At 48.7% G+C, this 12,490-nt stretch overlaps 1 long non-coding RNA gene and 1 pseudogene across 1 annotated transcript; one reads left to right on the top strand and one right to left on the bottom strand.

The window, feature by feature from the left end:
• The first annotated feature begins 2,583 nt into the window (after nucleotides 1–2,583).
• Nucleotides 2,584–11,212, top strand: LOC107984199 (uncharacterized). The gene is made up of 2 exons (XR_001747344.2): nucleotides 2,584–3,382; nucleotides 10,784–11,212. It is a non-coding gene; the product is annotated as an uncharacterized LOC107984199 (long non-coding RNA).
• Nucleotides 3,854–4,132, bottom strand: RN7SL445P (RNA, 7SL, cytoplasmic 445, pseudogene; annotated as a pseudogene).
• Nucleotides 11,213–12,490: the final 1,278 nt, after the last annotated feature.

The raw sequence follows: 12,490 nt of genomic DNA, 5'->3' as shown, positions 1-12,490 counted from the left end.
TGTTTCTTCTAGGCAGTTGAGTTCCTTTATTCGGAAAAACGAGCGTAAGACTGGCTCTGAGAACAAAGCTGGACAGCTTGCTCATCTTTCGAGCAGCTGTGCCGTGGAGAGATGAAGGTGGGGCGCACAGGGCCCTGGCAGGGGCTGTGCCCCCTGTAATGGCTGAGAAAATATTTCCAGACCCTGGAGTCTTTGCCTTTTCTCTTTTCTCCACATTAGCACCACATGACAGTGACAGCGAGGCCTCAGTGATTTTGGCTTGAAGGTCTTGTGATCTCCGACAAGTTGAATGAAAAGATGTCTTAAATTGGTCCAATCTAAAGAGTGCCTCCTTTTTCTCCAAACCATGAAAAAAGGCAGAAAAGATGGATGATAGGCCTCTCTGCCTGTCTCTGTCTCTCTCTCTCTCACGCACCTGTGTACACATTTATTCGTTCAAATACAATTTCACTCTAGCATCTGGCCTCCAGGTGTGCGGTTGTTGTGCACACGGACTTCATGGCTGGGGAGAATCTGCCACTGGACGCTGAGCCAGGATGTGCACTTAGCTTCACCATCTGCACTCTGAGTGATCAACAAAGAAAAGTCCCTCCGTTCTTGGTGTGAATCCAAATCCCGAAGCTTGTTCCACTGTGCTGGGGACAGAGGGTAAGACCAGAGGAGAAGCAGGGACATCCTCTTGCTCCTTGGTCCTCTTCCCCATCTTCCCCATCCAAGCCCACCCATCTTCTTCTTTCCTTTTTTTACCAGTTGTTCTATTTTAAGTTCTCTGCTGGGCACTAATGATATGAGAACACATAAAAGCAAATCTTGGCCCCGAGCATCTCAGAGTCTGTTTTTCAGGGAGCAGGTATAGGAACAGATGTTGCACCTCATCATGTGGTGAGCTGGGGGATGCTGTGGTCTGAATGTCTGTCTCTCCCCAGATTCCTGTGTTCAAATCCCCACCCCCACAGTGATGGTATTAGGATGTGGAGCCTCTGGGTGCTGATTAGCTATGAGGGCAGAGCTCTCTTGAAAGGGACCAGTGCCCTTAGAAAAGAGGTGCCAGGCCTGGTGCACTGGCTCACACCTGTAATCCCAGCACTTTGGGAGGCCAGGGTGGGCTGATCACTTGATGTCAGGAGTTTGAGACCAGCCTGACCAATATGGTGAGACTCCGTCTGTAGTAAAAATACACAATTAGCCAAGCATGGTGGCGGGCGCCTGTAATCCCAGCTACTTGGGAGACTGAGGCAGGAAAATCGCTTGAAGCTGGGAGGCAGAGGTTGTAGTAAGCCGAGATCGTGCCACTGCACTCCAGCCTGCACAATAAGAGTGAAACTCTGTGTCAAAAATAAAAATAGGTGCCAGAGAGCTGCCTTGCCCCTTCAGGCAGATGAGGACACAGAAAGAAGTCGCTGTCTATGGAGAAGAGAGCAGTCATCACCAGGCAGGGATCCTGGACTTCTCAGCCTCTAGAACTTTGAGAAATAGATTTCTGTTGTTTAAAAACCACCAGTGTTTAGGTTTTGTTTGCTTTTATTTGAGCCGGGGTCTTGCTCTGTTGCGCAGGCTGGAGTGCAGTGGCATGATCTCAATCTCCTAGGCTGAAGTGATCCTCCCACGTCAGCCTCCTGAGTAGCTGAGGCTACAGACGTGTGCCACCACATCTGTCTAATTTTTTAACTTTTGTAGAGACAAGTTCTCATTATGTTGCCCAGGCTGGTCTTAGGCTCAAGGATTCCTCCCTCCTCAGCCTCCTGAAGTGTTGAGATTACAGGCATGAGCCACTGTGCCCAGCCATATAGAATTTGTTTTAGCAGCCTCAGCAGACCAGGACAAGGCATGAGCAAACTTGACTCTTAACTCTGCCAAGGACACTGGAGAAGACAGAAGAGGGATGACTGCTGACCTTCTAAAGTCTTGGATTAATAAAGTCAATTACATAGCATAAAGAACAACTTCATTTTGATTCCCATGGTGCTCTGTGGTTTACAAAGCTTTATAACGACTTTGATTAATGGCAGCACTCTTCTGGGATGAGGATGAAGAAACAGAAGATTTGTTGAAGTGACTTTTCTTTTCCTTCATACTTTTTCTACCAGGCACGAAGAAGAGAGTGAGACTTAATTCCATGGAATTTTACATGTATAACAGGGCTTACTGTAATCCTTCTTATGCTTATGATTTTCAAAGACCTGGGAGAGACTTTGATCATAAAAGGCAAGATTTGGCCATCCGGAGAGCGTGGGATTTTGCCTACGAGCCTCTAGGAATCTGTGGGCGGCAGAACAGAAATAGGTCATTTATAAAACTTGACTGAGCCATAGGAAAAAAAATCCATCACAAGCTGACTTCAAAGAGTCTAATTGTTAGATTTTTTTCCTTCTTCTTTGGTGTCAGAGGGGTCCCTTGCTGCTTCTAAAATAGCATGGAGTATAAACTTGTATTCAAGAAATATAGGTAAGATACGATTTAGGTGCAGTTTTGGTTAAATACAGCATTGATGAGAGCAGTATTACTCAAGAGGCTGGGTGCTACTGAGTTCCCACATCCAGCCCCCAACCTGTGCTTGTCCCACCACATGTGGCTCCCACATCCAGCAGGCTGAATCTAAAACTGGCCTGGTCTATAAGGCCGTTCCTCAGATGATCTGACAGCCCATGGATTAATTCTGTGTCACTTTCAAACAGGGCAATAGAGTTGTCAAGACTTGATAAAGCCCAATAATATTTCTAATAACAAGTAAACTGAAAGCCCAGCTGGGCACTGATTCTTATTTTGTGTTGGGCTCCCAGGCCAGCCTACAACGATGTGTTCCTTTGCATTCAACAAACATTCACAGCCAGGCTTCCTAAGCTGGAGTCCCTGGATGTGTGCTTTGCAGATCTTGGCTGTAAAGTATCTCACTGGTCTTTCTCTCTGGCACCTCTTGTTATGCCTCCAGCTGCAGCCAAGCATCTGGGCCTTGGTCACCGAGTGCTGTGATTGCAGGCACTCTGTGCTGACAAGTGACTTGGTTGCCTCAGACCAGGTGTGACTCATTATTTTCCTCCTGACATTCCAAGCACTGAAGTAAATGATTGATGGAGGGAAAGATCCAAAGTGTCAGAGAAGTCTCTCTCTTGGCCGTGAATAACAGGCTACCTTGAATTGGTGTTTCCTTTGCGTATTTTGTTTCTAAGCAAATCGAGTCCCAGGTAGAGTTTTGCCCTTGAGCAGCTTCATGAGGTCAAGGAGGGGCGCTCACTCCACTCTGCACGGAAACACTGAGTGGAATGAAAATACAACCGGAGAGAATGTCCTCCCCACCAGAAGGTCGCCTCGAGACAGGCCTCCACGCATCGTTGCTGACCTCACACAGTGATACCTCTGCATGCCGGGGAGCAATTCCATCCAAGTAAGTGGTGGGTGGGGACAGTTTCTCTCCCTCTGGGGACATGCCAGACTGAGTCCTTGGCAGTACTCTGTTTTCCCGGGAGGCCCTTTTGCCCAAACTGGGACATCTGGTTCCATTAGGAAATCAGAATGTTCCTCTGGGCTTGTGGCGTGCTCCCAGGTGGACACTCCTCTGGGAACGCAGCTGCCTAGGGCAGGATCATTTCACAGGACCTCAGGAAATTACAGGAGGAGCTTGGACCCAAATCCTCCCCAGTGCAGTCAGGAAACACGGCTGAGAGAGTGTTCCCTGCAAGGCCAGAAATGATGGCTTTAATATTACCTCTCTTTCTCTCTCATCTATCATCATCTATTCCTTCTCTCTATCATCTATTATCCCTCTATCTACCTATCCATCCATCAGTCATCTATCTATTCATTTATCTATCCATCCATTGATTATCTATTATCTATCATCTTTCAATTTTTTTTTAGAGACAGGGCCTCACTATCTTGCCCAGGCTGGAGTGCAGTGGCTATTCACGGGAGTGATCCCGCTACTGATCATTATGGGTGTTTAGACTTGCTCCATTTCCAATCTGGGCTGGTTCACCCCTCCCTAGGCAACCTGGCAGTCCCTTGATCCTGCGAGGTCACCATATGGATGCCAAACTTAGTGTGGACCCCTGATCTGTGTAGTGTACCACAGCTTGGAACTTCTGGACTCAAGCAATCCTCCTGCCTCAGCCTCCTGAGTAGCTGGTATTACAGGTGTCAGCCACTGGCTATCTATCTGTCCATCAATCATCTATTTATCTGTTTATTATCTATTGATCTATCATTGATCATCTGTTTATATATCTATCATCAATCAATCAATATATCTGTCTCTTGAGCTATCATCCATCTATTGATCTATCATTGATCTATTATTTAATGGGCACGTGTTGAATGTCTAATACATGGCTCTGAACTGAGTCTCGGGAAGGGAAATGCAAAGATCTTGGCTTCCCTTTAAGACCCTCCCATTTAGGAGAGGATAAAAGATGCATCAGCTTTATCAACATCGTCTCAACAGAAGCCAGAATGGAGTGAATGCCACACAAGAGGAAAACAGTGCTTGAGAATTCGTTGTTTTTAAAAAATGCATCATGGAGAAAGGGAATCTGAGCTCTGTATCTCCAGTCAAGGAATGATATGAACCGAAACACACATGTTCTGGAAAATTGATCAGATTGTGGCGTGTGGTGTAAACAGGCAGCTGGCAGAGCTGGAGGCCAGATATGGAGTTGGGAGAGGCGGTGAGAGAGGAATGTGAAAGCCAGGCCGTGCCTGCCAGTGCAGAGATGGACTGGACCGGACTGGGTGCCCAGGTGGATGAAGCCTGGGTGGGCGTTCAATAGCTGGGACACAATCTTTTCTCTTCAAATAGAACACCTATCAAGGGAGATCTCAGCATCAGGTGCCCCAGCCTGAGCAGTGCTTGCTGAAGGTGTGTGGAGCAGCAATGGTTGGTTGTCTCAGCGGACACAGGGGCTGTCATGTCTTTATCCTCCAGGCCTTGGAATGATGCTATTTGCTATGTGACATTTGAATCTCTGGAGCACTGACCTCGAGCCACCATGTGGTCTATTTAAATTGTGTGTTACTTGGCTATGGCTGCCATAACAAAAGACCACAGATTGGGGGCCTTAAACAATAGAAATACATTTTCCCCAAGTTCTAGAGGCTGGAAATCCAAGATCAAACTGTCAGCAGGTTTGGTTTCCCCTGAGGCCTCTCTCCTTGATGTACAAACCACCTTCTTTCTCATGGTGTCTTCACGCGGTCTCTCCTCCGCGTGTGCGCATCCTGGGTGTCTCTTCCTCTTCTTATAAGGAACCAGACCTATTTGGTTTAGGGCCTCAGTCTTATGACCTCATGTAACCTTAATTACACCCTCGAAGGCCCCAACTCCAAATACAGTCACATTGAGGGGTAGGGCGTCCACATATGAATTTGGGTGAGGGACACAAGTTAGTCCATACCATACGGCTACTTGGTATATTTCTTTTATCCTATAAGCTTCTAAAGACCAGGGGCCATGTTGTATTCACTTTCCACAGTGTCTGACACAGAGATAATCCCCATATACTGGTTGAATTAATTGGCTGCAGGATGAAGCCAGAGATACAGGGCTGCTGCCTCCAGCTGCCCAGGCTGTGCACTGCAGAGCTCCACCTAGAGGACGCCGTGAATATTGCTGCTTGGGGTTGTGTAGGGCTATGTTCTGCTGGTTGGCGATGATTTGGAATGTGTCTTTTTTCTTAATTTTCTAAACGTTGCCATGTTCTGCTTCCACAGCTGTGTAAACTCTGAGTGCCTCGAGTGTAAACAGTATTATATCTATTAGTCTGTGAGTAACAGAAACGTTATGTTAAACACAAGAAACCTCATGTCAAACACAAGAGGATTTTTTTTTTTTTTTTTTTTTTTTTTTTTTTTTACATAATAAGTCTGGAGATAGGCAGTTACTGCCTGTGGTTTAGAGCAGAGGTTTATAATTTTTTTTTTCTGATAGTCAATATTTTTAGCATTGTGGGCCAAGTGGTCTCGGTTACAACCACTCCCCTTTGTCATAGACAGGGCAAAATTAGCTCCAGACAAATAAATGAGCATGACTGTGTTCCAACAAAACTATTTACTAAAACAAGTAGTGGGCCAGATTTGACTCATGGGCTGTAGTTTGACAGCCCTCATGTATACCACAGCCAAAGCTTTTGCAGTTTTTTTGATCTTTTGACCATGGGACCCTCATGGTCCCAAGATGGCTGCTACAGCTCTGGTCATCATGTCTATCTTCCAGGCAGGAAGAAAATGGAAAGAGCTTGGCAAAAGGAGTGTCTGCCAGCCAAGCAAGCCTTGTGTATTTTTTTTTGATGTGTTTGTTTTACTTTGGGCACAGTGCCATCCCAAGCAATATAAGGTTTCTCTTACTGAGGAAGAACAGAAGAATAGACAGTAAGTAGCACCACTCAGCCCCTAGCACCACCACTTTAAAAAAAAATCCTCCAACTCCTAGAGTAGTACTGTGCTGAGCACACTGCAGGAAATCCATGAATAACGGCTTCTCGTTTCCTCTCATACTTGTTTCTGGTCACCTCTGGTCTCTTCACTTCATTATTAAATCCTTAGAGAGGACTACAACCTTCGCAGTCTAACTTTGTAAAAAGATGACTCAAATTTTCCGATTCTTGGTAAAAAAAAAACCACACACACCTCAACAGCTCCTTTCATGCTATATAGATTTCCAGGCAGGGAACAAAAGACAGAAAGAGACGGGAAGGCAGAAAGGAGACTATTATGCATTGCTGGCTCAGCAGTAATTGTTGGCAGCTTTCGGAGAGTCGGGAGGTGAGGGCTCAGGCGGCTTTGGGGCGTGATTGATGGGTTATGATGGGGACCAGGAGGCATCTGTCCTGTGTGTTTGAGGATTTGGGGAAGCAGATCCTGTGGTGCGTCTCAAGCATGCATTCTGATGCTGCCTCCTCCAGGAGTATTTTAGGAGAAGGCAGGGATTCTCCGCAAAACTCAGGCTCTGCTCTGTTTTCCATGAGTGTTTCCAAATCCCAGAGCTCAGACCCTGATGAAACTCTTTCAGTCTTGTGAGGCGTGGGGTGTGGCAGAAAGTCCCTAAGCTCCCAGACCCAGGGAGAGCAGTGTTCTCCGGGACCTACAGCGTAATAGTTTCTCTTTCTGCTCCCTCTCCTGCCATCCCTCCCCGCTTTCCAGAATGAGTCTATGGTGAGGACTGGATAGGACAGGAAGAAAGATGCCTGGAGTTAGTGTAGAATCAAGGAGATCTGACACAGAAAAGAAGGAGACGACCCTGGACCCGTCCAGCCTCTTCCCTTGATTTGGGAGTGGCCCGGAGGATGATCTGGGTCCCTGGTTTTCGAATCTCTTTGGCAGTTCTCTCTGACACCCGTCCTGGCCACAGCCCCTCCCTTTCCGACCCTTTCCTCACTGCATTCTCTTTCCAACCTTCCGTGTTTTTTTTTTGTTGTTTTTGTTTTTTGATGCATTGCTGGGAATGCCTGCTACAGACTTAATTAGGCCTCCTCCAAATTCATATTTTGAAGCCCTAACTTCCAATGTGATTATATTTGGAGGTAGGGCCTTTAAGGGGGTGAGTAAGGTTAAAGGAAATCATAAAGGTGGGACTGTTCTCTTCAAAAAAACTGGTGTTCTTATAACAAAAGGAAAAAGACACCAGAGATCTCTGTCTCAGACAGAAAAAGCTACGGGAGGACACAGTGAGAAAGTGGCTGTCTGCACGCCAGGACAACAGCCCTCACCAGAACCCAACCACACCAGCACTTTGACCTTGGACTTCCAGCTTCCAGGACCGTGAGAAAATAAATGTCTGCCGTTTAAGCCATCCAGACTGTGGTACTCCGTTATAGTAACCAGTGAGACAGTACCCACCCCACCTGCAGTCCTGGAAGGCACAGGTCAGTGTGTGGGTTCTGGATATTTGTGGCTTTAGCAACTGGAATTTTTATTTATTTATTTGAAATAGGGTCTGACTCTGTCACCCAGGCTGGAGTTCAGTGGCGCAATCACAGTTCATAGCAGCCTTGAACTCCTGGGTCCAAGTGATCCTCCTGCCTCAGCTTCATGAAAAACTGGGACCACAGGTGTGCACCACCATGCCTGGCTATTTTTAAAAATGTTTTGTAGAGATGGGATCTCGCCATGTTTCCCAGGCTGGTCTTGATCTCCTGGGCTCAAGAAATCCTTTCACCTTGGCCTCCTAGATTGCTGCGATTATAGGCGTGAGCCGCTACGTTCGACACAACTGGAATTTTTAGATGCCAATGTAGTCTCAACACTTTCTCCAGACATCCACACTAATGTGGTGAGGTGTATTGCTGGCTTAAAACAACAACAGGCCGGGCGCGGTGGCTCACGCCTGTAATCCCAGCACTTTGGGAGGCCGAGGCAGGCGGATCACGAGGTCAGGAGATCGAGACCATCCTGGCTAACACGGTGAAACCCTGTCTGTACTAAAAATACAAAAAAATTAGCCCAGCGTGGTGGCGGGCGCCTGTAATCCCAGCTACTTGGGAGGCTGAGGCAGGAGAATGGCGTGAGCCCTGGAGGCAGAGCTTGCAGTGAGCCGAGATCATGCCACTGCACTCCAGCCTGGGCGACAGAGCAAGACTCTATCTCAAAAAAAAAAAAAAAAAAACAGCAACAACACACCACAACAACGCCAACGTGTTCCCTGCCTATCCTCCTTCTCACTGTGAAACATATTTCGGACTGTGGAGAAAGCTTTCTAGTTAAGCAGGAAATTCCTTTCCATCTTTCAGGGCCCAGCTCATTTCTGACCCTTGTGAATGTTCCTTAATTTCCTCCCAGACTGAAGAATCCTTCTCTTTCTGGGTTTCCAGGTACCTTGCTTGTAACTCTACCCAAAGCACTTTGCTTTTAATTCTATAACAGTTCCTATCTTTCTTGATTCGAATACTTTATTCACGTGCTTGTAAAGTTTCCCAGACTGCAAGGACCTTGAGGCTAGAGGCCAGGTCCTGTCTGCCCTCACCCCAGCAGCTCCATGCCCAGCACACAGCCTGGCTCAGAGAATGAGCTCCGAACATGTTTGCAGGATGAGGGCCAAGGTGAACAGTGGCCTTCAGGGGCCCTGGCTGCTGGTGCCATGTGGGAGGGACATCTGTTGGTTCCCATCCGTCATTCCGGTTGCACCTGGCTGCTGCGCTCATTCGGCACAGAAGGCTGAACCGGGCACCTCAGTCATTTTTATTTTTTAACCATCATTTCCCAGGGTGACCCTGAGCCGGGCCGCAGCAGTGGAGGGAGCCCTGTTGTGGGAGCAGGTCTGGGATGACTGTGTGCTGAGGGCAGTTGTGAGGTCAGTGGGTAAAGGGAGGAAGTTGCCCTTTGGCAGTGTTTAAAATCTGGAATCTAAGTTTTATTCATGGTGTGGTGTAGATGAGTGAATATGCAACTATCTGAGTGTGTTCCCCACACAAGGGAGTCATCCCTCCCAGCAGATTTCCAGAACCTCTCGGAATAAACCTTCTGGCCCGTGTGTGGATCAACAACAGCTGCTCTCTCACAGCTGCCACAATTGTAGCTGTCCTTTAGGGCTTCTAAACTTCCAACCAGGGTGCCCTGGCAGAAAGCACTTCATGACGAGTCCAGAGTGAGCCCAGCATTGGGAAGGCTGCAGCACCTGTCTCCAAGCCAGAGTGGTGGCAAACCCAGAGACCAAGAGGGGCAGCCTTGCCATCAATGATGTCGCCTTTGGATCCCTGGGCATCTCCAAGGGGCTTCACCTGCTGCCCATGCAGGGCTCCCCACTGGATGCGGCCTGGCTCAGGGTCCACCTGGGAAATGAGAGCAAAAGCACATTATTATGATGGCTCCACTCTTTTCATGGGAAAAAGTATATATTTAGGATTAGCCAGCTGGATGCAGTTTATTTTATTTTTTAATTAATTACTTTTAATTTTTGAGATGGGGTCTCACACGGTTACCCAGGCTGGAGTGCAGTGGTATGATCATGGCTCACTGTAGCCTCAACCTCCTGGGCTCAAGTGATTCTCCCACCTCAGCCTCCTGAGTAGCTGGGACCACAAGCGTGAGCTACCATGCTGCGCTAATTTTTAAAAATTTTTAAAAATTTTGTAGAGATGAGGTCTCACTATGTTGCCCAGGCTGGTCTTGATCTCCTGGGTCCAAGGGACCCTCCCACCTTGGCCTCCCAAAGTGCTGGGCTTACAGGTGTGAGCCACCATGCCCAGCTCTGGACACAGTTTAGATGACCCGGTTTTGTGGGCAGCATCCAAACCATCTTAGCCAGGTGCCAATTGAACCTCGGGCCTGAGCAGGGTATGGGCCTTGGGCATACCGATGTCGGAGGGCTTCTTTCCAGCCTGTTTGCCCAGCGCCTGCCAGCTTTGACATCCATAAGAAGCACGTGTGTGGTTGTCTTCTGTTAGGCTGGTGCAAAAGTAATTGCGGTTTTTGCCATCTAAAGTAATGGCAAAAACCATGATTACTTTTGCACCAATCTAATAACGTCTTTATGGCGGACTCGGGTTGGGGACGCTCCTTCGGGTGCTCTTCCGAGGATAGCTGGGCTGTCTCCGGAGCTGCAGCGTCTTGGGCCGCCGGAGGGTGGCTGACGGCGGATCTACTTTTTGTGGCTGTGGACACCTTTCAGCACCGCCTCCTTGGTCCTCAAAGCCCCTACTGTGGCTTGGGCTTTGGGAGGGGCAGGCGCTTCCTTCATTACCTTGGGCGCCATCTTGAGAAAAGGGTCCTGGCAGTTCCGTTTCCGGTGCCTCCCGCGGGTGGCGAGCCTTCGAGATGGCCGCATCGGGCAAGTGCTGCTGTCTTCTCTGCTTTACAGATGTGGGGAGGTCTGGGAGGTTAAACCGTTTCCTCCAGATCACATTCCCGGGAAGACGAACCCAGCTGTGCCTGACTGCTCCTTTCTTCTCACTGCTTCTGCGGAGGTGGAGACGCCCGCGTAGCCCGTGTTGTCTTCCTCTGCCCACTCCAGGCCAAGCATCCCCCTTCCTGTCACGCGCTCTTTGATGGCTTCACTGTCCTGGACACCCCCTCAGATCTGTGCTGTCTCAGAGAAAGCAAGCGAGAATGGGCCCACGGTGCTCCTCGTCTTTGGAAATGGATTTTACCTTTATAAGTGAGAGCTTTCAGAGGCACAGAGTCCTGGGGCTGCATAGGAACAGGGGGCCTGGTCGGGGCTCTTTTCCTTTCCGGGACCTCTTTCTCTATAAAGAAAATAAAAATGCGATTTGAGGACTGTTGGTACAAATATGAATGTAATCTAGGCTGGATTCATAACTGTATATTATTATTATATTAAAATTTGACTTGAAAAGAAGTGGGGGCTGGGCGTGGTGGCTCACGCCTGTAATCCCAACACTTTGGGAGGCTGAGGTGGGTGGATCACGAGGTCAAGAGATCGAGACCATCCCGGCTAACATGGTGAAACCTCGTCTCTACTAAAAAATACAAAAAAATTAGCTGGGCGTGGTGGCGGGCGCCTGTGGTCCCAGCTACTCGGGAGGCTGAGGCAGGAGAATCGCTTGAACCCAGGAGGCAGAGGTTGCAGTGAGCTGAGATCAAGCCAGTGCACTCCAGCCTGGGCGATAGAGCGAGACTCTGTCTCAGAATAAATAAATACATTAATTAATTAATAAGAGTGGAAGTAAGAACGTTTTCTTGGGTCCCTAAAATATTGTGGGCTCCAGACACTGGAGGATAAGTCACCCCGAGTGTCCTACCCTTTATAATGAGTGGGAATTTAGCCATGGGGCTGGGCCGAAAGGGGCTGCTTTGGGGAAGTGATCCTTCTGGGATCCTGTAACTGCTGAAGATCAGAACAAAAGGGGAGATTGTTGAGGTTAGCTTTTTAACTTTTTTGAGACAGGGTCTCACTCTGTCACCCAGGCTGGAGTGCAGTGGCGTGATCTTGGCTCACTGCAGCCTTGATTTCTCATGCTTAAGCAATTTTCATGCCTCAGCCTCCAGAGGAGCTGGGCTGGGACTACAGGTACACACCACCATGCACGGCTGATTTTTTAATTTTTTGCAGAGACAGGGTCTCCCTATGTTGCCCAGGCTGAGGTGAGCTTTTTAGTGTCACCATTAAGCTGCTTGAAGCTCGGGGTCCTCTGCATGTTCTTAGTTTTCATGAATGAGCTGCAGGTTCACCCCTAAATATTTGCCAGCCACTGCTCAGGCACAGGTTTGTGGTCTGAGTCGTTGGTGCGCAGACGTCCTGAACTCCATTGGCCCTGACCTGCGGGTGACAGGTGCAGCAGGCTCAAAAGCTGCCCAGGTCCATTTGCACCCTCCTGGTGTTTAGCGTTTGGCCACACGGGGGCACGAGCGGGACAGCCTAGATCGGCCTGCGTCCCATCTGGGCCGTGGGAGGAGCCGCGGGAGAAGCCTTGGGCCTCGCCAAGCTGACTGTGGCCTGGGCCCAGGAGGGTGTCATCTAGAAGGCCCCTGCTCCCTGCCACCATCAGTAATCCCCAGCCCTGGAGGCATTGAAGGCAACTCAGTCCCAGGGAGCCACGGGCTGGGT

This window comes from Homo sapiens, chromosome 10 (assembly GCF_000001405.40).
Source record: "Homo sapiens chromosome 10, GRCh38.p14 Primary Assembly".
In the NCBI taxonomy this organism is placed as follows: domain Eukaryota; kingdom Metazoa; phylum Chordata; class Mammalia; order Primates; family Hominidae; genus Homo; species Homo sapiens.
Note: the sequence above shows the minus strand (reverse complement) of the source record. Positions and strands in the feature narration are given on the sequence as shown.